General features: G+C 53.9%; 1 protein-coding gene and 1 long non-coding RNA gene across 4 annotated transcripts in view, besides 7 other annotated features; both read left to right on the top strand.

Annotated features, from left to right (window-relative positions):
• LOC112268061 (uncharacterized) overlaps window positions 1-11,809 on the top strand; it is a 39,802-nt gene extending 27,993 nt beyond the window's left edge. For both annotated transcript variants that reach the window (XR_002957082.2, XR_002957083.2), the window contains exon 2: window positions 487-11,809. This is a non-coding gene — a long non-coding RNA (uncharacterized LOC112268061). The remainder of the gene's footprint in view (window positions 1-486) is intronic.
• Window positions 1-25,126, top strand: part of UNC5B (unc-5 netrin receptor B) — a 90,295-nt gene that overhangs the window by 35,031 nt on the left and 30,138 nt on the right. The gene's annotated exons all lie outside the window — the stretch shown is intronic.
• Window positions 12,097-12,949: an enhancer, noted in NCBI's record as "H3K4me1 hESC enhancer chr10:73019454-73020306 (GRCh37/hg19 assembly coordinates)". NCBI's record gives its function as "activates a minimal SCP1, AML or CMV promoter by ChIP-STARR-seq in naive H9 embryonic stem cells {active_cell/tissue: H9 hESC(naive)}" and the evidence as "EXISTENCE:reporter gene assay evidence [ECO:0000049][PMID:30033119]".
• Window positions 18,333-19,326: an enhancer, noted in NCBI's record as "H3K27ac-H3K4me1 hESC enhancer chr10:73025690-73026683 (GRCh37/hg19 assembly coordinates)". NCBI's record gives its function as "activates a minimal SCP1, AML or CMV promoter by ChIP-STARR-seq in primed H9 embryonic stem cells {active_cell/tissue: H9 hESC(primed)}" and the evidence as "EXISTENCE:reporter gene assay evidence [ECO:0000049][PMID:30033119]".
• Window positions 19,518-20,239: an enhancer, noted in NCBI's record as "H3K27ac hESC enhancer chr10:73026875-73027596 (GRCh37/hg19 assembly coordinates)". NCBI's record gives its function as "activates a minimal SCP1, AML or CMV promoter by ChIP-STARR-seq in primed H9 embryonic stem cells {active_cell/tissue: H9 hESC(primed)}" and the evidence as "EXISTENCE:reporter gene assay evidence [ECO:0000049][PMID:30033119]".
• Window positions 22,232-22,526: an enhancer, noted in NCBI's record as "tiled region #4598; K562 Activating DNase matched - State 5:Enh". NCBI's record gives its function as "activates a minimal TATA promoter and a strong SV40 promoter by Sharpr-MPRA in K562 cells {active_cell/tissue: K562}" and the evidence as "EXISTENCE:reporter gene assay evidence [ECO:0000049][PMID:27701403]".
• Window positions 22,232-23,123: a biological region, named in NCBI's record as "Sharpr-MPRA regulatory region 4598".
• Window positions 22,402-23,123: an enhancer, noted in NCBI's record as "NANOG-H3K27ac-H3K4me1 hESC enhancer chr10:73029759-73030480 (GRCh37/hg19 assembly coordinates)". NCBI's record gives its function as "activates a minimal SCP1, AML or CMV promoter by ChIP-STARR-seq in primed H9 embryonic stem cells {active_cell/tissue: H9 hESC(primed)}" and the evidence as "EXISTENCE:reporter gene assay evidence [ECO:0000049][PMID:30033119]".
• Window positions 23,124-23,843: an enhancer, noted in NCBI's record as "H3K27ac-H3K4me1 hESC enhancer chr10:73030481-73031200 (GRCh37/hg19 assembly coordinates)". NCBI's record gives its function as "activates a minimal SCP1, AML or CMV promoter by ChIP-STARR-seq in naive and primed H9 embryonic stem cells {active_cell/tissue: H9 hESC(naive and primed)}" and the evidence as "EXISTENCE:reporter gene assay evidence [ECO:0000049][PMID:30033119]".

The following is a 25,126-nucleotide window of genomic DNA, read 5'->3' on the forward strand; positions in this document are numbered from 1 at the left end:
GCTGAGTTGGACTGTTTCAGGAGTCTGAGTCTGGGCCTTCCTCAGCTGTACACCCCCAGTCCCCAGGCCCCAGCATGGATGTGAGCGAGCCACAGCACCCACACTGGGACCTTTGCATGGTTGGGAGTTCTGTGCCATAGAACAAAGAGAAACCAGGCAGTGAGTTCTATAGAAATCAGACCGGGGGCTAAGGGAAGACATGCTTCCTTTTTTGCTTTGCCCTGGGATGTAGGACCCAAGTGAAGTAAGGCTCCCTAGTGATTTGGGGGTCTTACTTGTGTCCTTGAGACCTGGAAAACCCTCTCAAGGCCTCAGGGAAAAGGAGAAAGGATGGGAATGCCGCATCTGCCTTTGGCAAGCTGCTGATTCACCTCCTCCTATGTGGCCTTTACTTTCCTACTCTGTATAATGGGTAGGAGTGGACTCAATTGCCCCCTTCTCTCTCCCCTTTGCCAAAGCCTCTGACTTCTAGCACTGCCTTTCCAGGCTTGTGGTATCTCAGGGAAGGAGATACTGGTTTCACCCTGGGAACCATCCAAGCACCCAGGTCCCTGGTACCAGCTCTCAGCTCTTTGATAGCAGTCTTGGGGCCTCCCTGGGTCCTGTCTCTGAGGAGCAGAAGAGGAGTTGAGCTCCCCCCACTTGCTTCCACCTCTCAGGTAGGCAGCCTTGCCTCTGGCCTTGGCAGCACTTTCCCAAGCAGGGACGCCCTGGGAGCCTATACGGCCAGGAGGGAGGCAATACACACAGCGCCCTGGAGAAAAGCCCCCCGCACCTCCAGAGCAGAATGAGCTAGCGGGAGGCAGGGAGAAGGGGGGCCCACTTTCCCCTTCTTCCCCTGAGTTGGCACTTTTCTCTTTGAGTGTTAAACTCAGCTCTTCCTTTTTCTCCTATTCCTGACAGCCTGTTGAATAATTTAAATATTTGGGCCTAAAGGGCTTCAATTATCCTTTAATTTACATTAGTAATTTATGTATTAGGCAGAATGGACACACGGTTAGTGTAACAACCCCCAGTAGACCGGCTAATATCTGCTGCACTCACCGTTCTTAAGAATCTCATCATTTTTCTTTGCAGCCCAAGGTCTTTGTTTTCAAAGTGGCTCCTAGGCATGCACTTTTACACAGACCTGTGTACATGCTCAGGGGTACACAGCAGAGGATGCCTGAACTCATAGAGAACATTGACATGCACCCACTTACAGGCAGGCACACTGAAGCAGTGGGTACAGGCTCCTCCCTCTCTCTGTCTCTCTCTCTCTCTCTCTCACACACACACACACACACACACACACACACTCATAGATGTAAAACACACACCATGTCAGACCAGCCATCTCCACTCCCACCTGCACCCCACTCCTTCCTGTGGGCAGTATGTACACATATGCTTGTATTTGCATCTGTTGGCCAGGTGATCCCAAACATAGCTCCCTCTGGCAAAGAGGCTACTGGGCCCCAGCATGACATTCAGATGTCCCATTCTGTGTCCAAGCTTTCAGTCCCTTTTTGCACAGCCCTACACAGGCACCTCACCCCAGGGTTGAACGCACTCATGAGAACGTGACCACGGCCACAGCTCCAGTGTGCTCACATGCTGTGGGCTGGCACCAGCTACAAAGTCCTCCTGGGCTTCTCAGGCATGCTCCCCTCCAGAGCCTGCAGCCTGGGCACCAGTAACCTGGCATGGCCTAAGCTATTGCCCTGACATAGCTAGGCTGCCAAAGGGACCCCATTTGGGATTGCCAATTCCTGGCTGCCCCTCAAAACTTGGCCCAGCTGCCCCAGCACCAGCTTGCAAGGATTGAGGGCTCCCCAGGGGGTGGGGACAAAAGTGACAGAGAGTGATAACCCTATGTGTGAGTGTATATTCCAAGCTTGTTAAGCTGGGTTGGGCCCCTGGTTCTGTGGAACGCACCTTGCACCTCTGTGCCGAGACCATGCTATACAGGTGAGGCCCTTGGGATCCAGAGCCATCTCTGAGAATGTGGCTTTCCAGCTGTCATTTCTAACTCCAGGAGAGTCCCCTGGCATGGTCCCTGGCTCCTCCTACCACCCTCATCTCTCTCCCACAGCCACAAAGCACAGAGCAGGTAGAAGGCAGGTAATGCAGTGGGCAGTGCAGATATCTGATTGGTGGGGTAGTCCATTATACAGAAGGAAAAACCAAGGCTGCAGGAGGTTAGGGCATGGAACAGATAGGTTACTTAGAGAATCTTCTGGAAAGGTCCCTCTTAGGGGCACTGGCCACGTATCCCAGTGCCATGAGGGCTTTTGGAGCCCAGATTTCCCTCTTCCCACTCCAGTGCTCAGGCTGTGGTTCTGGTTGGGATGGGGTGGGGACGTGGTTCCTCTCCCCAAGCATATGTTTAGGCTCAGGAGAACAGCCCAGAGGAGCTAAGTGGAAAGTGTGTGGCCACAGGTGCCCATCTCTGTGCCTCTTCAGGAGACTGCCATGACACCAGGCATCTCACCACTCTTGAGCAGGGCAGAGGTGCTGGGAGCCCATGGCAAACCCCGCTGGGCCTGAGCCACCTGCCTGCTGAAGGCCTCTTACCAGGTGGTGCCCCAGGCCCTGCTCCCCAGGATGCCTTGAATGAAGGGGCAGTGCCGGTGGGGGAGACATCAGAACTCCTTTCCCCCCGGCCCTAGGGATGACCCCGAGCCTCCGGCCGTTCTGCTGGGTCCAAATGGGATACTTCCTACCGGGTTGCATGAGCTAGGCCCCTTCTGGAAGTCCCCATCATTGCCCCTCTCCCAGCCTTGGCCTCTCTTCTTCATCTGTCTGGCCTGGCTTGGGTGTGTGGATGCTTCCTCAAGTCCCAGCTTAATTCCTGACTTTCCGAGGAATCTTTTCCTGATAGCTCCAACCTCCCCAGACCTGTATAGCCTGTACCTCAAAATCTAGGGCAGCAGTGGCAAACGGTTTATCTCAGGTGGCTGTTTTGAAAGTTTGAGGGTGACTTCCCAGGGTGTAGTGTTGAGAAATCTAGGGCCACATCTGGACTCATTTACAGAAGTCAGCATTAATTAGTGATGTCTGCTGTGGTGTGGGATGGGGAGGTGGTGGCTCTCAGGCTGGGCACATGCCAAAACAGATCCAGGGCTAAATTCTAAAGTATTGTTGCTGCGCTGCAGTGGTTTCCTGAAGGGTTATCCCCCTCCTAGCTCCCAGCACTTTGGGGTAGAGATTATAACTTTTCTAATTTATAATCTATGGGAGTATACTTCTGTCTCCTACAGATTCTAATATAGATCTAGATACATAGTAGACACTGAAGAGGGGAATACTTACAGCATGCTAGAGGTGGAAGGAATTCTAGAGATCACTGAGTTCAGGGATGGCAAGTAGGTCTCCTCTTGCTACCAATCCTGAACAAACAGTGATGACTTTCAGGAGATGTGCTGATTCAGAGACTCAGATCTGGCTCAGTTGGGTCAATTAGTGATGTCTGTCATGGGCTCAGCCATGGTAGTAGTTGTACCAAGGTATTGCTATCCCTGTTTTATTTCAGTCTTCCAAATATATTGATATGGAAACTAGGACTCAGAGTGGGTAATCTGTCAGAGGTTACCCCGCTGCTTGCTTGGATGGTTAGAGAATCCTCACTCCTTCCAAAGGAGTTTCCCTGTCAGAGGTCAGGGTAAGGAAGGTAGAATCTTCAAAGCCTGGATAGACAAACTGATGATGTGTCTTTCTGAGACTGGTTCCTACAGCTGTAGTCTTTGTATGTCTTCATGCGGTTTTTAAACTTTTAAACTTTCACCTTTTGATATAGTAGGTGGTAGGTACAATAGAAACGCTGTACATGGCATTTAAAGGCAAATTGGATTTTCTTCTGGCAGCCACCCTGGACTTCAGACTTGCAGGCCCCAGAGCACAGTTTATCTCCCCATCTGCAAGAGCGATTTTCCATTTGCTCCACAATGGGAAATAAGAATCCATCATGTGCCATTGTGTCAGGAAGGTGGTGTCTACTTTAATAAATTTGCTTTTAAATGCTGGCTGTCTCTGGAGATCGTTTCGCTCATGCCTGCAGACAAAGTGATTAAAGTTGCAGAGTATACATGGTTCCTGCAAAGACCCAGAAGGGGTCTTCTCGGTCCATATCTGAAACCCTTGCCACATAGGGGAATGAATGAACCAAGATAATTCCTCTCCTGTGAGAGTCTCAGTGCCACAGGCTGAAGCACACACAGGGAAGAATTGAGGATATTTATTTTTCTTTAAGTTGTTTTCCCCCAGGAAAAAAACCCACAGGCTGGAGATGTATACCTCAAGTCATTGATTTTATTTCCTCTCAAATTGACCTTGCTTTTCTAGGACTTTGCCTCTTTAAGTGTACCAGGTGTGACATCTTTGTAAGTAAATGAAGTGCTGTGTAATGTTCCCCTTCACCTCCTCCAACAAAAAAGTGATTTGAAATCTGGGTTAAAAATAAGTGTCACATATATATATTACAATATTTTCCCAAATGCCTGTGCTTTAAAAATGGGTGAAGGGACAGTTAACATGCTCTTCAGTGGTATCTGAATCTTGAATTTTATTTTTCCAGGTCTAGTCCCTATATAGTTGATCATTCACAGTGACTCTAGGCTGATCTCTTGCCCTCTCTGGGCCTGTTTTGCCATCTATCAAATGGGCTAACTTTGGGCCTGAGCAGCAGGAAGCGTGATAGAGCACCAGGCTGTGAGGGTGGCTCCCTTTTGTGTCTCTGCATTGAGCAGGATAGAGTTTGACCTGCTGCCTACCAAGTGTCCTGCCATGAGTCCCAGAGCCCTGCAGTTAATAGCAGCCACGCCCTCCACCTCACTGCCTGCTTCTGTGAGAGCGCTTTCAAATCTCTCATTCCTCTCATCTCACAATTACCCTGTGAAGGCGGGACTGGTATTGCATTGTACAAAAGAGGAAAGAAACCTGGGCTTGGAGAGATTGCTAATAATGACAACCACTAGCAGTTTTTCAGCTTTTATTATGTGCCAGGCACTGCGCGAGCTTGTTGAATGCATTGCCTCATTTATTCTTCAGAGCAACCCTAACCCTATGAGGTAGGCATCATTTCTCCCATCTTATTGTGAAGGAAACAGACTCAGAGAGGTGAAGTGATTTGCCCAAGGCCAGACCCCTTCACAGAGACCTGCCTTGTGAGACGGCACCTGCAAGGAGAGGGAAGGCATTGGTAGCAGTGAAGTCCATTCCAGAGAGCGGGCAGGGAGTGACAGCAGGAGCCCCAGAGACCCCCAGGACCTGACTCAGCCTGGCAGTCTGTTCGGGTCTCCCCAGGAGAGTAGACGGTGGATGGGGAGGTGAGGCTTGAGGGTTAGGACAGAGAAGAGGGGGTTTTCTTAGAGAGCTCAAGGGACAGGAGGAGAGAAGAGAGACAGAGCACAAGCCCCAGGACCTGTGTCCAGGACATTGGTCATTTCTCAGGACCCCAGGCATTTCCCTCCATCCCTCTTAGCTCTTTGCTTCCTTGCAGCTCAGACCTCTAAAATCCTCCCCTCATTTCCACACTTCACCTCCTCACCTGTGGACTCTGGGTCTGCACCCTCTGCTTCTCACACTTCCTTGCTGCAGACTCCAACCTCGGGGGAACCCCAAAGGCCCAACCCTCCCCAGCACTGAGTATCAGAAGTGCCACAGCCCTGCCATTAAAGGGGGCCACCACCTCCTTTCCCCGTAGCTTGGTCTTAGTGATGCTGGCCACCCTACTGCAAGGCCCAGGCCCAGGAGTAGACAGTACCCGAGTTTGGGTGTCCTTCCCTTCCCCCGACACCATGCCCAAGGAGGAGCAGCAGCAGTGCAGCTTCCTGGGAATGAGGCTTTCTTTCCACCTTCTCCTCGTCCATTGCCCTGGAAATACCTGTAGCAGGTGGGCAGGCTGGCAGGGAAGGCCAGGCGCATCTGATGTCACTGCTCCCCAGCATTGTTTTGGTTCTGACCACAGTGGGGGTGGGGTGTATGTCTGTGTGCTAAGTCCACTCAGTCCCAGGGCAAGCTGGGGCTTTGTCTCCCTCTCCCCTGCCAAGCTCCCTGGTTCCTGGCTGAAAGCATTTCCAGGGTGTCAGAAGCTGTTGGCATCGCCAGGGCTGCCAAGGGGAGGAGGGGCAGGAGAGTTGGGTGGGGGTGTGAGGGTCCTCCTCCCCAGAGATCCCCATAGCCTGGGAGTGAGAGGTGGACACTGTACCCCTGGTCAGTAGGGGAGCAGGGGTCCGCAGGACACTAGGAAAGCTGGTTCACGCATGTCTCCCAGGAGGTGTTCAGGGAGCATTTGTTAAGATGGGGATCGCTGCAAGGTGGAGGGTCCCAGGGACCCCCTTCTGGTTCCAGGCGTGTCCTTCCTGCTCACTATATCATGTCAACTCCATCAACCTTTAGCCAGGTCCACGCTCGCCAACCAGCAGTCCAGTTTCCCAACTCAGCACAGGGGGAAACGGATGCCTAGTAGAGAGGACAAAAATGAGCTCAACGTCACATCAAGTCAGCAGTATTGTTGGGACTGGACTCCGAAGTCTGACTCTTGGTTCAATGCTCTTTCCCCTATAGCAGGTGGTTATGCAAAGTAATGTAAATTATATGCAAATGTCTGTGGCTTCCTACCTACGCCTAGCAGAGGGGGTTTTGTGCCCTACTGGGGCTGGCGGGAGTCTTCTCCCGTCACAAGACTATCAGTTCTGAAAGGGCTCGTGGTAATTGTTTTACCCACTATCTGACTCAGGGCCTGGGCCCCAACCTTCTGTGGTGATCAGGAGGAGCACAAATGGCTCTGGGACCATGGGTACCTGGCGTCCTGCTGTCGTGGGGGGCATAGGGCTGACAATGCCAGGAAATGGCCAGAGGAAGCCTCTGGATAGGCCCCTAGAGTCCACACGACAGTGTGGGCCTGGCTTGGGGAGGTTTTCTCACGAGTCCTGGGAAGTCGGCTTACTGTCTCCAGGCCCCCTGGGTCCCCATCAATAAGCTGGCCTGAATGGAGAGGCTGGGTTGGGGGGAGGGAGATTTATTTCCTGGCTTTAAAACCAGCCATTCTCCCGCCTCCCACCTTCCTCCTGGCTGGAGAACAATGGGACATCCCCAGAGAGGCCTTCCTGTGGCAACAGGTGCACTGAGCAGGGTGGATGACCACCACCCAGGCCCCCATAGGTTCCAGCTGTGCACGTGGTGAGCCTCCACCATTGGTCCTGCTTCCAGAACAGCAGCCTGGCGCCCTTAGAAACAACACCAGGCACTGACCCTTTCTCCACTATTTCTGGGTCCAGGAAGTGGCTTGTTTGTTTGTTTCTACAGTCCAGATAATGTTGCCATATTTCCCCAAATGGTGGGAACTAAGTTCTGAAAAATAATCACCCTTAATCCCACCCAGACACAACTACTACTTGCATATTCGTGTGTTTCCTTTCAGGCTCATGCCCAGGTTTGTTTTATGATGTCATCACATACTTACAGGTTTCATTTCATGCTCAGGCCTCTACACTTAACATTATTCCATGAATCTTTCTCGTATAATTACATAGACTTCATAATTAGCCATTAATACCCGAGAAGAACCCACAGTGGGGATATACTTTAATTTACTCAAGCAGTTCTCCCTTTGTTGGGTATCTTACTCTGGTAAATAACACTGCGTTGAACATCTCCATGCTCACAGCTTGGTTGGGTTCCTTGGGAGAGATTCCCAAAAGTAGAATTCTAGGTAAAAAGACACGCCCTCATTCATACACGCTGCTAGATTGCTTTGTGGATTTGATGCAAGTGTCGTCACCAAGTTGTCATTCTCCGAAGTCCCAGCAGTTGTTCATGGGCCCACAGGGTGGTAAGAAGTATTTCCTAGACAGCCCAGACTTCCAAATGTCACCGGCTGTCACTGATTATGGGGGGAGGGAATGTGAATTGACACAAAAGGAGCTTGGGGCTCTCACTTCCAGGGTCCCTAACTTAGAAACACCCCCGGGCTTTAGGGACAGGCTTTACTAAGAGGCCACTCCTTGTTCGTAATTAGCGCCATCCATCCCCAGTCAGATCTGGAATGAGCGGAAGCCCTTTAAAGTAATTTGCTCTTTTAATATCACCCCTGTGATCTCATTTAATTTTCTCAACCAAACTTCATTCACAGAGGAAGCCAAAAGCACTCCACCAGCCCGGACTGAATTCTCACCCTTTCCAAACAGTGGCTCTGGACTTCTGCAAGCTCTGCTGAGATTTGTCTGGCCTCCAGCAGCTTGCATCCGAAGCCAAAGGGCTGTCTCTGTCCAACAACAAAAGGCAAGAGCATAGTGTAAAAGCTGTGGCTTTAAACATAGGCAAGCAGCTGCCACTGCCTGCTCTGAGCCCCCACGGTGGGGAGGAAATCGACTATGTATTGAGTCATACGCCCTGGCAGGCTCCGTGCTGGACATTTGTTCGGTTGGGCGGGGGCATGTTCTCAGTGATCCTTCTGTGAACCCTGTGAGATTGGTATGAGCACCCATTTTACAGATAAGGAAACTTATCTGTAAGCTCTGAGTTGCAATGACTTGTCAAGGTCCCTACCATAGCCCCTTCTTTGGAAGATCTCCAGGTGACATTGCACATGGAGCTGTGGCACTGCTGTCACAATGTCATACCCCAGAGGTGAACAGGTGAGTGGACGAGTACCCGCCACACCCCTATGCTGCTGCCACTCACACAGCCACTCCCAGCCCTGGCCCCAGCTCCTCCAGGAAGGGAGCCTCCCTCCGCTGAGCCAGCAGAGCTCTCAGGCCATTGGCAGCTGGGCTCAGGAGAGCCATGGTGATTTATGGCTGCCGCGTCTCCCCAGTGCCCTGCCTGGGCCCAGTGTACTTATGGACTAATGGAAGCTCGAATGGAGGGAGATAATTCTGCCAGGAGCTGGCTCCAGTGACAGGGGCAACCACCATTGCCTCAGGGCAAGGATAGGTTCGGGAACAGAGGGGACTTGGGCAGAGGCCAGAGGCAGAGGCGCTGAAGGCTCTGAGAGCAGATGGAGCCCAGGTGGGGACTCGGGCGTGCAGAGGGTGGCACTTCCTGGCAGCCCAGTCCCCAGACTGGCTTCTCCAGGGCCCCCAGAAGGGAGCCAAGAGGTGGGCCAGGAGCCCAAGGCCCCAGAGGCCTAGCAGCACACCTGCCCGTGCATTTGGTGTGTGGGTTTTGATATTCTTAGAACATCCAAGCTTCTCACCTAACCCCCTCAATGATAGATGGGGAAGCAGGGGCCCAGAAAGGGTCAGGGACTTGTCCAGGGTCACACAGCATGTTAGTTACTGAGCTGAGACAAGAACCCTGGGATGTCACAAGAACACGGCAGCCGGTGTGGAGTGGAGAGGAAGACCTTGGGCAGGGTGGGCAGGAGGGTGAGCACAGAGCAGGGAAGGTGCAGGAAGACGACAGTCATGGTCAGGGATTAAAGAGGATGCTAAGGAGGAGGCTGGGACAGCCCCAACAGCGGGGCCCAGAGGAAGGGGTGCAGCAGCTGGCATCGACCCTCCTGGTAAGGGAGGGTTAAGGGGGACCTGGAAACCCACAGCCCCACTGGGTTCCCTCTGTGAGCCAGCAGGTGCTTCCTGGGGCTCTGCTGGGCCCTGAGGGGTGAGCACCCCCGGATCCCACCTAGCTCCTTTCCACTGATGTCCTCCAGCCAGCATGGCCCACCACTCAGCTCTCCTGAGCCTCTCTCTGTGTCTTCTTAAATGGGACCGTTATGCCTACCTCAAAGGGTAAGTGGGAGGTAAGTGAATAGGGAAGTTCAGGTTGAGAGAAAGCCGAAGGGAAGAAGAGACGCCCACCTCAGTTCAGATGTCTCAGGACCCCTGGCACCTCTCTTGCCCCCTTCCCCCTCCAGGCCCACCCAGGCGAGTCACATAGGTTGCTAGTGCCTCAGTGTATCCCATCTGTGAAATGGGCTCCCCTCCCAGCCCCTGGCAAGAAGGCATATCCCTGACTGGGTGGTGAGCTTCCTCCTGCATGCCAAGCCCACACAGCATCTTCGAGGAGCGCCTCGGTGGTGAGCTGCACCAGCCTGGACTGAATTCTCACCGTGGAGAGATGTACATGCCAGGTGCTCCTTGGAGGTGCTGTGTGGGTTTGGAAGATGTTTTCCATGGCTTGGGGCCCAGCAGCCCTCTGGGGCCTGACAAGGAGTGAGGAAACAACCGCGCCTGTTGTAGGGCAAAGAGGAACCTCTGTCCCCTCCCTGGAATCACTGCAGGCTGTGGCCAGGTGTGCAGGGAACTCTTTCAGGTCATCTGGCTCAGTGGCTTCCACAAACACCTAGAATCCGTGCTGTGCATAGGCACCTGCCTGTGCTAAAGCCGTTTGATATATGTGAGCTCCTGGAGGTAGGCAATGTTCTGATACCCTCTTTAGAGGTGGGGAAACAGAGGCCAGAGGCTTGAAGTGCCATGCCCAAGAAACACGTGCTTTCACTGGGAACTGTTTTTGAGAGTTCACCTGATGCCAGGTGCACAGGAGCTAAGGCATTACTTATCCTCTAGGCTAGGGACTGTTAGCCCATTTTACAGGCGGAGAAACCAAGGCCAGGGAGACAAAATCACCTGCCTGAAGGCCCCACAGCTATCGATGCCGAGACTCTATCCTGCGGATGTTGGGCTCTTTCCACTGAGTAAGGTTCCCTCACTCTCTAGTGCCACATGGGGTGCCCTCAGTCTGGGCCAGGGCAGGGCAGATGCAGGGCCCCCCACTCCCCTCCTAGGATACAGGAATCTGTATTGCCTCAGGCTTGTCTCTGCCCACCTGCTGGCCAAGTCCAGGACAGAAAGAGAGGGCTCACAAATTGGGAGACTCTGGGCTGAAGACCTGGTGGTCTCAGCCATTTTTGTTTCTTGAGGGTCCCAAGACCACCCATTCCTCCTCCAAGCCCAGCCCTGTAGCTCCTCCAGGAAGCCTGGCCCCTTCCTGAGCTGTGTGGCCAGCTCTCTATGCTTCTTCTGGAACCTCCACTCCAGAGCACCTGAGAGCAGCAGGACAAGCCGTGGTCTTGGGCAGCGTCCTTTCAGAGGAGGAAGGTCCAGAGAGGGGAAGGGACTTGTCCAAGGTCACACAGCTAGCGACATCCCAAGCAGCCCTGCTGGAGCTCTTCAGAGAAAGGACAGGAGGAGCCAAGGGTGAGCTTGGCCAAGCTGGCACCCACTTGCCTCCAGAGTCACCAAGGTCCCCACCCTGCCCCAACATTGCCTTTTCCCGAGGAGTTGATTCCCAACCCAGCAGAGGAGCTGCCAGATGGGTAAAGACCCTCCTGCTGAAGAACTGAGCATCCCAATCCCCTCTTGTCCTCCCCGCCCAGTGGCCAGCCAGGTACTGCCCTGTCCAGGAGGCAGCTGACAGGCAACAGGGAAGAGCTGAGCCTCAGGGCAGGCAGCCCGTGTGAGGCCACGTGAGCCCAATGTCACCAGGGTCCCATCGGGTGAACTGGGATAGAATGGCCCAGCCTTTCCTCATGGGCAGGGTGGAGGGAGGTGAAGTATGGCCATTCATTAGAAAAGTAATGACTGGGCCGGGTGCAGTGGCTCACACCTATAATCCCAGCACTTTGGGAGGCCAATGCAATAGGATTGCCTGAGGTCAGGAGTTCAAGACCAGCCTGGCCAACATGGCAAAACCCTTCTCTACTGAAAATACAAAAACTAGCCAGGTGTGGTGGTGTGTGCCTGTAATTCCAGCTACTCAGGAGGCTGAGGCAGGAGAATCATTTGAACCCGGGAGGCAGAGGTTGTAGTGAGCCGATATGCCACTGCCCTATAGCCTGGGTGATATAGCGAGACTCCATCTCAAAAAAAAAAAAAAAAGGAAAAGAGAAAAATAATAATGACTAATCTTGGACTTGGGCAGCCCTTCATAGTTTATGAAGCACTTCTGCATCTATAAGAGAATGTGTTCTGTTCACCCATTCAAAGACTAAGAAACCGAGGCTCAGAGAGGCAAAGTGGCTAGCCCAGTCACACAGCCAGTTAGACTGTGGGGAGGACTTCAGCCTACACAAGGTCAGCGTGAGTTTACTGAACGCTGCAGTCAGGCCCTGTGCTTGATACATTCACATACATGACTCTGTTTACCATAACGACAGCCCTGGGAGATTCCTGTGGATTGTCCCATTTTATAGAGGAGGAAATATAGACCCGTGACTTGCCCAGGCCCCACAGGGAGGGAGTGTGGAGTTCGGTAGCTCAGCCATAGCCAGGCTCAGCCAGGTCAGTGGGCGTGGGTCCCTGCCCAACTTGCTGAGGGTCTCAAGGGTGTATTCTGCCCACCTCCTGAGTTTGGGGTAGATAGCCCAGGGGACTGGATAGGGGCAGCTCGGAGTCTGCCCATCGTGGCTGTGGGAACACTGCCTGCTGGGGACAGTGCCTGGAACAGCACAGTTTGGGTTTAAGCTGGAGCCTCTAGGGGACAAACAAGCCAACTGCCAGGCAGGAGCTTCATCATGGTAGCTCCTGGTGGAGAGAGGTAGGGGGGGCATGAAGCATCAGGAGCAGAGGCACTGATGCCCTCTCCTTCCTGTGGCCCAGCATGGGGGTGGCCACCGCTCTGGCCACTGCCCAAGGGGGTGGCTTCTCTGCTTTTGCCAGCTGTCTCCAGCCTGAGATCCAAAACTCAGCTTGAGAAACCACACCTGAGAAATCCGGCATTCCATTCCTTGCCAGGGGCCTCAGGATAGGGGAGGCAAGCAGGGGTGCTCGGGGACCGCCTTTCCCCACAACCCTAGGGAGGAGGTGGAGTGGGTGGAGGCGAGAGAGGCGGGCTGGGCCCGGGAGCACGGAGGCCTCTAATGGCACCGGGTGTGGCCCATAGTCCCGCTGGCTAGCTGCCTTGTTTCCTAATTAAAGTGCCCTTATGAAAATGCCCTCCGGTCCAGGCCCAGTGCTGCTGGGTGAGGCAGGCACCTCCCAAAAAATCTCAGCAGCTTTCCTGTCTTCCCTGCAGGGCCTCTGGGCTCAGGGCCCTTGGTCATCTGGGGGAGGCTGGGGGGCATCAGGGCTATGTTCACCCTGTTATCGTCACTGTGCTCCCAGAAGCTGTTCTCTGCCATCCCATTGCTGAAGGCAGCAGGCCGTCCTCATTAAAGAGCCTCGGCAGCCAGGATCAAAGGCACTATTGAAGAGGCTCCTAAGAGCTGGGGGACGCCAGGGCCAGAAGACGGGAGGAGGAGGTAGCAAGGAGACTGAGTCACTGCAGGCCAATTGTGATGAGTGGGCAGTGGGTGGCTGGAGCCAGGTTTTCAGGCTGGGAGGAAAGCCCAGCCAAGAGGCCCAGGAAGGGGCGGGCAGGCAGCTGGGAGCCCTGCGGAGAGGTTGCTGCTGTTGCGCTGGGACACCTCCGCTGCTGAGCAAGACTGCTCCCCCGCAGCCCTTACGAAAGCCACCTTCTGGTGAGGGCAGCAGAGCAGCCGGCTGGTTCACTATTAGGGGCCAGCGTGGGAATGGGGAGAGGATGGGACCTTGAGTCCCAATCTTTCCATTTGGGAAGCCCATAATTGACAGGGCTGCACCGAGGGTGGCAAGCTGGCAGTACCTAGAGGCTGTCATTATGGAATAAGGGCCCCTCAGTTCTTTAGGCAAGTCACCCCAACTCTCTGGACCCTGTTTTTCCCTTGGGTTGAGTGAGGGTGAATAGGGATTAATGAGATGGGGAGGGGGTGGAATATCTTCATCACTTGATTGGTTGTGGCTGAGTATAGTCCTGTGCTGAGAAGGAGGCCTTGTCCAGATGTGCCACAATTTATTAGTGATGCTTGCCACAGCCTCAGGATTGGCCAGGTGGCCGTGCATTTGCCCCTAGACTAGATTGACTCTATAGCCCTTGCACACTCTAATATCCTGAGATTCTGAGGCTGACAAAGCCCAGGCTGGCATGCAAAAGACCTCCCAAATGCTGGCCCTGACTTCCCCAAAGGACATCCTTCCCTGAGACGTCAGTGGAAATCTGAGCCTCAATTTCTTCATCTTTCAAAGGGAGAGAAGGACTCAGCTGGACCTCTCACCTGCCTCAACCTGCAAAACACATCATTCTTAGTATTAACCGAGTCCTTCCTTGTGCCCCTCCTTGTGCCCAGTGCAGTGAGGAGTGCAAGATGGAGTGTACCTACACTCTAGAGTCTTGCCCTGTGCAGGCCTGGCTGGAGCCCTGCATCTGCCTCTTACTGGCTGTGTGACTGGGGGCAAGTTATTTTAAGCACTGAACCTTGGTTAGTAAAATAGGGGTAATGGTACCTGTCCACAGGGTTGCTGTGCCCATTGAATACAACTACATAAAGCCTGTGACCCCAGGCCTGGCACAGAACACCCAGCCCTTAGATGGGGGCTCTGACGGGAAGGGTTACAAGAGAGGCCTCAGTTGACTTCTTTGCCTATTCTGACCTTGGCTTTGGATGGGAATTTGGACGGGGGTGGGATGGGGTAGGGGGGAGGTGGGAAGATAGTTTCAAAGCAACACAGGCCCAGACTGTTCGCTCTCAACTCTCCCGAGACCGCAGCCCCAGCCTGAGCTGGCTTCTCCATAAACTCCTGGTCCCTTCCTTTAACCAGCCCCATAAAAAGGGAGTGGGGCAGGAGGGAGTCTGGCTGCAGACTTTGTAATTTGGCTTGGAGGTGGCTCCTGTTCGTTCTAACCAGGCTGTAATTACGGCTGGCACCCGACACCCCCTCATTACCGGAGCCTGGAAGGAGGACTCTAATTATAGCATACTGGGTCCGGGCTGGAGTGGGTTGGGGGAGGGAGACCACAGTGGAGGCCTGTGTAGGCAGAGAGAGACTCTGAGCTGGCTGGGGGGATGGGGCAGGGCCAGGATTGTGGGGGGGCTGTCCTGGGCTCCTCATTTGTCTTGCTTTCAGAGTCATCGTTGGGAGGGATGGGGCATAGATCGAATCCAGGCCACTTCCTTGGGGAGAACAGGACCCAGAGGAGCCCGCCCGGGAGACTCATTCATTCATGCACGAAGGATTTATTAAGCATCTACTGTGTGCCAGGCTGGCACTGGGTTACAGCAGTGGGTAAACAGGTGCCATCCAGCCAGAAATGATGTTCAAGGAGAAAGCACATTAAAGCCATCTTGCTGCTGGAAATATCTGAAGAAGTCCACATTGATGGCAAATGGCCACCATCATGAGCCTTGATTACCCTCTAGTCACCCCAGTCACTCCCCTGAACCCCCTGGGCCTCACTTGGCACAGCAGGGCCCCAGGACCCTCCCCCAGAACCCTGTCAGACTGTTGGCTGCCCACGCAGGTTAAATGTGTGGCTGTCACTGAGCCTCTGCCCTGGGACCACACAGTCGATGGGGGCACAGACATTAAAGGAAATACACAAATAAGTATATAACTTGAAAAGGTAATGAGGGTAATAAGGAAAAGAGATGCCAGACGAAGAGCCAGGGCCCTGGTTTAGGTGGGAGTGGTGCAGTCAGGGCTCTCTGGGGAAGTGAACTTTAAGGTGATACCTGGAGAAGGAACAGGGTTTAGCCAGGTAGGGGTGGGAAGGCAGCATTCCAGGTGTCTCCATGGAGGCTTGCAGCCTGGGCATCCTACGTTCTGAGGTGTCCCCACACCGGGGTGGAGGCAGTGGGGTTTCTCCTGCATGTCATACAAAGAGCACTGGACTAAGTCTGTAGACTTGGTGCTCAGGCCCAGCTCTGCCAGGAACTGTGTGGCCTCAGGCTAGTCACACCCTCTGTGGGCCTCAGTTTCCTCATCTGTCCAAAGGGAGGCCCCTTCAGGCCACAAGCCCTCCCTCCCCAAGCCTGAGGTTTTGAGGAGTCCAGCAAGTTCTGTTCAAATGCCACTTTTCGGGATGCCCCTGATGACTGAAAGGCAGCCAGGGCACGGGGGAGGGGGCCAGAGAGCTCGAGCTGAGAGCTCCAGACATCCCATCCCCTTCTCTGAGTTATTAAGAGCCACCCGGAAGCAGACACAAAGAGAATTGTCCTGAGCTAGATAGAGCCAGCCCCCAGCCCCCAGCCGAGAACAATCAGAGAGGAAAACCAAGGCCATTTGTCCAACACGGAGTGCGGCAGTGACAGCGGCTGGGAAAATGCCGAGTATTTCTCAGCTAAAATTAGCCACCTACTAAACCTTTACATCAAGGGCAACCTGAAGCCTCTATTGTTTTGAACTTGGAATCCCAGAGGACTTGGGGGCAGGGCTTCTCAGGAGAAGCAAATGACCATCCCCTCTCCCAGGGGCTGGGCTAGCCAACACCAAGCCAGTCCTTGAGCCACAGGGGTGCCCAGTAAGGTACCAGGGGACAAACAGACAGACAGGGAGGGAGTCTAGCTGCCCAAAGTCACCAAGCATTGGTGGCTGACACAGCTTCTGGTTGCCCCATTTGAGACATTCTTCCTTCACCAGTGATATTGATGTACTCTGAGCTAAATGGGTGGCAGGGAATGGGGAATGTTGAACTAGAAGAAATTGCTGGAAATATAAGAAAATAACTCTTTATCCTTTCCAGAGGAAGCAGTCAGAATGGGCATCCCTATTTGCTAATGGTGGATAGTTCCTGCCATTGGGGTGGCAAACCTGGCTTAGAATCTTTCCTCTGCCACTTAGTAACTGTCTGACTTTGTACAACTTTAGATAAACAATAGAGATGGCTATTGATACCAACCTCATAAGATTGCTGCAACAATTAAATGAAATAATGTAGAAGATATAGGTATTAGCAATGGTAATAATAAAAACAAGAATGCCGCTTTTGTTCATTAAGTCTTTTTAACATGCCCAGCACTCCTCTAAGCTCATTGCGTGTATTAACATGTCTAATCCATGCTAGAAATACTATTACCCCATTCTGCAGAGAAGGAAATGGAGGCCCAGAGAGGCGAATTTGCAGGAACACAGGTGATGGCCATCATTTATTGTTATTGCCACACAGCAGGTCCTGATTCCGGCTCAGATAGCGAAAGCCTGGCACCATGCTGCTGTGTAATTCCTTCAGCTCCTTTTGAAAAGTCTCCAGCTGAATCATAGAAGTGTTAAGGAAAAGGAAGCTGACATATGTTAAGCACCATTATGTGCACTAAGCGTTTGATATTTCTGTCGGGAGGCAAGAGAGCATAGAGCCGTGTGTGGACTGGCGGCAGCACCTAGACATTTCTTAGAAATGTACATTCTCAAGGCCCACCCCACACCGACTGAATCAGAACTTGGGGGCAGGAGCCTGGGTTTTAGCGAGCACTCCAGGTGGTCCTGGTGCAGGCCATGGTTTGAGTACCACTGGCACCAAGGTTAAAGAGGATGGACTTGGCCGGGCGCCATGGCTCGTACCTGTAATCCCAGCACTTTGGGAAGCCGAAATAGGAGGATTGCTGGAGCCCAGGAGTTTGGGACCAGCCTGGGCAACATAGTGAGACCCCTGTCTCTATAAAAAAAAAAAAAAAAAAAAGAGTATGGGCTTAAAGTCAAAGAGACCCAGATTCAAATGCTGACAACCCTGCTCTGTGACATTAGACAAGTAACTTAATCTCCCTGTGCCTGCAAACTGGGGCTAATGATAAGAATACCTACCAGAAAGAGTTGCGGGGAGGGTTCAGTTAGATAATTATTCCAAGTACTTGGCGCAGAACCTGAGAGCTAGTTAGCACTGTAAATGGTAGCTGTTAACTCATTACCTGAATTACCTGCTAGCACTGAAGAGGTACTAAAGGGAAAGGTGGTTCTTTGTGGCCAGGGAAGCCGTTTAATCCCAGCTGGGGTGAAGCTTCCCCTCTAGGGCAACCTGGCGGGACTGGGGGCCCGGGTAACAGAGGTAACCCTTGCAGGCTGAGGGCATCAGGGGTGTCTGGGATGGACATTTCCTCCCCACCTGGCCTGCCCTGTCTAGCAGGGGCTCCCTGTCTTCCCTGAGCTTATGATGCCAACCAAAGAGACGCGTGAACTAAGAACTTTTCTCCGCCGCTTTCTCAGGGAAACCAGCTCTGAGAATGACGGTCTGGTGATGTGGCGATCCCCAGACCCTGGGCTCATGGGGGCTTCAGCTGCATGCTGTGGCCTGGCAGCTTCCAGGAACATGTCTTTGCTCTCTTCCCCTCCACCCGTGTGTTTTCAATGGTGATTGGAGGCCTCAGGGGAGCCGTGCGCTCCTCTTCCTCCCTAAGGAGAGGCTCTGGGCCAGCCGGGCAGCGAGCACAGTGGACGGGCTCCACCTTCCCTGTGCTTCCACTGCTTGGTAAGGGCCTGCCCAGCCTCTGGGAACCCCAGGCTCTTGGTGAGGCACCACCCCACCCCCACTGCTGGCTGTCCCCAGGTCCCCCATGCTGGCCACATGCCTTAGTGTGATGCCACACTTTCTTTCACACCTCTGGCCTCTAGCTATCTCTGTGAGGTGGGAACGGTGAAGGTGCACCTATTCTACAGAGAAACAAACCGAGGTCCCAGGAGCTAAGACTAGGGCCCAGAGTCACCCACTGAACTGGTGGCCCAAAAGTGTTCTGGTATTTCCTGTCACTAGGCCGTGCTTCTATCCTTTCTTTTTTCACCCCTACCTCATACTTCCTTATCCCTCCTCAAGAAATCCCTAGAAGGGAACTGACAAACTTAGTGCCTGACATGTACCAGGCTCATTTCATGAGATCCTGCAGCTGTGAGGGGAACCAGGCTCAGAGGCAGGGGGTGGTTCCCCCAGCAAATGGGGGCAGGATGGGATTGAAGCAGGTCCCACGCACTCCAGAGCGCCTTCTCCTTGGCTAACCTCCTGCAGGTTTTGGGCTTTTTGCTCCCCTTCACCCTCCCCGCTTCCTGGTGCCCCTCCTGGAGGAGCCCTCTCACGGTGTCCTCAGCTGGATGCCTGCCCTCTGGCCCTTGCACCCTTCCTCTGCTGCTCACTCAGAGGACATGGGGAGCGGGCCGAGCCCTGAGCCAAGGCGGCCCAGCGATTACATCAGCAGGTGCAAACAAGCAGGCGGGAGCAGGGACGGGCGTCCCTCGGGGCTGGAGACGGCACTCCATCCGCCCCACACGAGTCTGTTTCATTCCCTCCTTCTAGCTTGCATCAGCCTTTTGCAGCTCTGTGTCATCACAGAGTGGGCCAAGGCAGCAGCTGGGAGGCTGGGGCAGGGGTGGAGGTGAGGTGTGGGGCTCGCCGGGACCCTGGCAGCCTGGAAGGTCCACTCACTGTTTTTTCCTGAGAATGGAGTACAATATTCCCCCCTTACTCGAGGTCTCCCTGTCCACAGTTTCAGTTACCCATGGCCAACTGTGACACCAAAATATTAAACAGAACATTCCAGAAATCAGCAGTTCACACATTTTAAATTGTGTGTGATTCTGAGTAGCATGATGGAATCTCCCACTGTCTCACTCCATCCTGCCCAGGATGTGAACCATCCCTTTGTCCAGGGTGTCCACACTGTATACACCATCCGTCACTTAGTCACTCAGTGGCTGTCTCCATTATCAGATCGAAAAAAAAATCATCTGTCTAGAGCTTGGTACTATTCAAGTTTTCAGGCATCCACGGGGGGTCTTGGAACGTATCCCCCACAGATACGGGGACTCCTGTAATAGAAATTAGCTAGTGCATAGGGCTGCCCAGCTGGCAAAATATTTTTGTACTTCTGACTTTGGTGTTTCCAACAGCCCTGTCAGTCAAAGCAAGTAAAAGTGGTCCCATTTCTCAGAAAGGAAAATTGAGGCCCAGAGGGAAGTGGCTGCCCAGGGGTTGTCTTGTGAGTCACTGACAGCACCAACGCATTTCACCTCAAGAAGCGCATGGGATTATAAGAGCCTGGAGATTGAAAAATCCCTATAGTCATCAAGTTGGAAGTAGTTAAAGCCTGCTTCCTAGAGAAAGTGAGCTGATTCCTTGGCCGAGGAGGAGACAGCTACTGAAAGAGCTATGGAGTGATTTCTGCACTGATGGTGGGTGGGCAGGCAAAGGGACCATTACATGGCTATGGGGGTAGGCTGGAGGCAGACTGGGCACTGGTCTAAGAAGTCTCGATGTCTGGATTCTTAACCTTGAAAATTTGCTGTGAGCTTCCCACTTGTGGAACTGAAGCTTGGTTATTGCTCTCTGAGCCTCACCACAGGCATGGTCAAGAGGAGGCCCCCAGGAAGTGTTTGATGAATGAGTGAATGAATGAATGAATGAATGGGAGTGAGTGCTTGCTCACCATCTGCCTCCCTTGAAGTGCATCTGTGCAGCCACACAGGCCTTCCCTTTGGCCAGTGCCACCTGTCTCCCCATATCTCACCAGCTGACAACTCAGCTGCTCACCCAAACCCAGGGCCGGGGTCTTTCCCAGCACTGGGACCAGAGAGGCAAACACAGGAACCATGGCCTGCATGCCAGGATGCCCACATTCCAGTCCTGGCTTGGCCTCCTAACTGCTGTGTGATCTGAGGCAAGTTACTACTCCTCTGAGGTCCCCAGGATGTTCCTGGGACTCTGAGTCTACAAGGCCTGGCCTCCCCGGGGCCCATGGAACCTGAGCCCCAGTCCTGCCTTGGGAATGGAGGCCAGAGATGGCTGCCTTCCTCCCTCACCCCTGGGGACTGAGCAGGAATCCAAGTGGCTTCCACATTCAGGAAAATCCAAGGGGAAACCCCTACCCAGTTCCAAGGACCCCTTCTATTCACCCCTTACTGCCAGGCGCTCTCAGGGGCTCTTTCTCCCTCTCCTCGTGGCACCATCTCTACCTCTGTTTATCTCGCCCATTTGCCCTCTCCTTCTCATGCCCATTTCACAGATTGGCAAAGGCCAGAGTCTGGCCACTCCTTTTTCTCTGTCCTTTCTGTGACTTCTTTTATGCCAGTGTGATGCCAAGATAGGAGTGACGCTGCAGCCACAGACTGTTTGTTTGCCCTTGCACAAGTCATTGCCCCTGTCTGGCCTCAGGGTCCCCAGCTGGAGATGAAGGGTCCCCAGCTGGAGGTGAAGGGTCCCCGACTGGAGGTGAAGGGCTTGGATGCAGTTTTGAAGGCCCCATAGCCCAGGATCTGAGCTGCCTCCTGGTGGTGGTGCTGACAGCAGGCAACAGGCAAGGACTGCAGCAGTTTTTCCACTTGGAAATGTGTTTGGCAGTTGCCTCCCCTTTGCGAGGAAGGGTTGTTCGGTTCTAGAGCGTGGCGCTGAGGGAGACGGGGGAAATTTGTGTGCCCTTGGTGCTCTAAGAACAGCCTTAACCCTGGGCTTTCAGGGCGGCATGGGGATGTAAGCACTGTCCTGTCTGGCCTCGTCCGGGCAGCCCCTAGACCCAAGACTGTACCAAGGCATTTTGGACTTTTCTGGGAGAAAGTGACAGGACACTGGGCATCTTCCTGCCCAGAACCCAAACACACAGCCAACTTGACAGCATTGCCAGCCTCACTCCCCGTGCCAGCTCTGCGTCCTTCAGCTCCTCCAGCAACCTGAAACGCGTGGCAGGAGCAGGCAGCCCAGCTGGCCCTCACCCGTCTGACACGTGTGACCGTGCGGGGGCTGGTGGGGGGAGACAGAGAGAGATGCCCAGCGTGTTCTGCTTATGATTCAAAAGTCCTCAGTCAATAGCCTTTAAGGGAAAGCATGGGATATGCAACTTACATGGTGAGACCAGATTTAGGTAACTAAATATTCATGCATCTAAAAAAGTCAGAGAGGATCAACATCCAGTGTAACTCAGCTGGGGTGGGAATGGGGCGGCTTTTATTTTCATCTTTTTTTTTTCTAGATTGTTTACAGTGAGGCTACTACCTTTGTAATCAGAATAAACCCAAACATCTGTTTTCAATTAAAAAAAAAGTTTAGAAAAATGAAGTCCCCCCCCCACAACTTCTCCTTTCCTGGGAGTCTGGTGCACAGTTTCTCTTTCTGGCTCTGCTGCTCAGGTGCTGTGTGATCTGGAGCCAGACCACACCCTCTCTGGTCTCCATCCTTGAGGGCAGTGATTAGATGGTCTGTGAAGTTCCATCAGTTAGTGGAGTCCTGCAGCATGGAATTTCCCAAGGGATGGGCTCCTGTAGCCCAGGTCAGCCCTCCTACCCGCTCCTGCTGCCCAAACCCCCTCTGACTGCTCCCTCCCCCTCCACCTGCCACCCCAGTGCTTGTCCTGTGTCCCCAGTGGGCCCATCTACACCGCAAACAAGATTCCCAGGCCCTCAAGGAACTTGCCTTCCAGAAAGGCAAGTTCCTTTCTGTCCAGAAACAGACAGCAAGCTTACAAACACATACACAAAGCAGGTCATTCCAGAGGGAGGTGAGCCTGCCAAGAGAAAAAAAAAGGCATTGGGGAGATAGCACAGGGAGGAAAGAGAATGGTGCATTTTCACTGGGTGGTCAGGGAAGGCCTCACTGGAGAGGTGGCATTTGAGTTGGGATCTCAATGACAAAGAGTCAGCCAAGAGAATATGTGTGTGTGGGAGGGGTTGGGGGAGGCGCTCCAAAACAAGAGACCAGCAGAGGCGCTGAGGCTAGAACAAGCAAGGCATGTCCCAGGAAAACACGCCTGGTGGGGCTTGGAGCACAGTGAAAGATAGGTGAGTTGGCCGGGTGCAGTGGCTCACGCCTGTAATCCCAGCACTTTGGGAAGCCAAGGCAGGTGGATCACCTGAGGTCAGGAGTTCGAGACCAGCCTGGGCAACATGGTGAAACCCCGTGTCTACTAAAGACACAAAAATTAGCTGGGCGTGGTGGTATGTGCCTGTAATCTCAGATACTTGGGAGGCTGATGCAGGAGAACCCAGGAGGCGGAGGTTGCAGTGAGCTGAGATCATGCCGCTGCACTCCAGCCTGGGTGACAGAATGAGACTCTGCGGAAGGGAGGGAGGGAGGGAGGGAGGGAGGGAGGGTGGGAGGCAGGGAGGGAGGGAGGGAAGACTGGTGAGTCCATGAAGTTAGAGGGTTCTGGGTAGCTTAGGACTTTCTCCAGGGTCACAGAGAAGCCGCAGGAGGCTGTACACCACTAGAGGGCAGGGTTTCTCTCTTATGAGATCACTCTGGTGTTAAGAGGAAAGTGGATTTTAGGGGCAAAAGGAAAGGTAGGGAGCCCAGAGAGAGGAAGGGTCCAGGCGGGAAGACCTGGGCTTGGAGACTGCAGCGGGTGGTGGGGGTGGTCGTGCAGTGTGAGGCACATCTTCCAGGTTCATCTAGCAGCACCAGGTCCCTCCAGCAGCACGGACTGGAAGTGGGGTGAAGGAAAGGGAGCCACCAGGCATCCTCCCAGATGGGACCTGAACAACTGGGTGCTTGGCGGAGTCTAAGATTGCAGCTCAAACTCACCCCATGCCAACCCTGGGTCAGGGAGAGGTGACCTATAAAATAGCAGGTCTGAGTCACAGGTGGGGAGCCTGCCATTGCCTTAGGGGGACAGCAGCATTAACAAAGGCCCACCCTGAGAAAGGCACTGTGGTCCCAGCCTGGGTGGGGCTCTCAGGGTGTCCCCAGAGATAGCTGTGGATGTAACCTGGCTGGGCATGTGTGTGTCTGAGGGGGCTTGCCACCTGTCACTGAGTGGGGGGCCAGGCTGGCCCCAGGCCTTACTCCTGGATCTCGGTTTGGGAGGGGCAGGTCCACAGAGCAAGGGAAGCCAAGTGCTGGAGTCAGGAAGCTGAGACCCCGTCCCCTCCAGCAAGCTAGGGAGCTCCTGAGAGGACAGAACAATAGCTGTCCCTGCTGGGTTTTGGTGGCTGTGACCTCGAACACGCCCTTTCACTCTTCTGCCTCGTTTTCGCATCTGTAAAATGGAACAGCTTCGCAGGGTCATTGTGTTGACAATAATGTGCGCTGTCTCGTTGGAACACACAGGATTTTCAGTGCCAGGTGGTGGGAATATGCTTATTATCTGCAGGAGCATGGATGAAAGGGCTTTGAGCTCCTTGTCTGGGAGAAGAAGGGGAAACAGAATATCCCCTCCTCAGGGCCCAGGCCTCCATCACAGTGACCCCATCGGACCTGAAACTTGGAAAAGGAACCAAAAATTAGCCCCAAGACTGAGCCAAAGGAACCCAAAGCCAGAGGAAGGGTCTGGAGGGAGGGCCTTGGGGGTGGAAGTCAGGGTGGCCAGTGACCCAGTGACTCTAGTGCCCTTTCCAGCTCTGTAAGCAGCGTGGCCCCCATAGCCAGGCCCGGGCTCATCCCAGCACTGCACCTGCCCTGGGGCCTCGACCCCAGCCTCCCATCCACTTCTTCACCTGCCTCACAGTCCTTCGAGGGAGACGTTTCACAGGAGCAGATGGACACCCCCTTCAGGATGCAGGCCCCTGCCCCAGCTGGCCACCTTGGCGAAGCCGCTTCCTGTGACAGCAGAGGAAGTGATGTCAGGGCACAGATGGGTGCAGAGGGTGTGGGAAGAGGGCTGCGTGAGGAGCCACCTTTGTTAGGAATGACTTGGCGTCCCCCGAGCCCGCCAGCCCCCATTTGTCATCGGTAACGGCCATTGTGACCGCCTCCGAGGGGGCCCCTGCCTGAACCCCACAGCCGCAAGGAGCCAGGGCCAGATGGAGGAAGAGCTTTGTGTCCAGGGAGGGGTCCTTCCATGTGAGGTTGTGTGTTTTTAAAACATAATAATAAATTGGCTCCTCTCCCCCAACTCTCCCCACTCCCCACTGAGCACATCAGCCACGCAGTGAATGGGAGAGATTTTCCATGCAGTGGGAGGTCAAGTCTGGGGAGAATTAGCCGGTGTCCAGGGGCTAGAGAAAGACTGTGATTGCTGATGATAAATGTGCCCAGCGTGGGGCGTTTCTCTGTCCTCACCTCCCGCCTGACTCCTCCCCTCCCTGTCCTGAGCCAGTCAGCCCTGGAGACACACAGCCCTGCATGGCTACAGATGCCCACCCCTGGTGGAAGCCTGGGGGTCCCAGGCCTGTGGACAAAAGCCAGCGGTGGGGGTTTCAAGGCCTTCCCTACCAGACCACAGCAGCCTCCCTCTGAGGTCTCCGCCCTGGGCAACAGGGCTGACCGGAAGTGGACCCGGCTGAGATGGATAGCAGGAATTTCCATCCCAGGCATGGGAATCACAGAGCCCAAGCCTTCACCCACAACCCTGCCGTGGCTGTGCTGTCTTTCTGGGCCCCCTGTCCCTCCTCAGTCCTGAATCAGCAACTGGGCTCTGGTCCAGCTTGGCTGTTAATTTGCTGTGTGGTGTTGCATTAGTCACTTCCCCTCTCTGATCCGGTAGAACGCGGGGCTCCAAGGGCTCCAG

The sequence above is a fragment of the Homo sapiens genome, chromosome 10 (assembly GCF_000001405.40).
Source record: "Homo sapiens chromosome 10, GRCh38.p14 Primary Assembly".
Classification (NCBI taxonomy): Eukaryota; Metazoa; Chordata; class Mammalia; order Primates; family Hominidae; genus Homo; species Homo sapiens.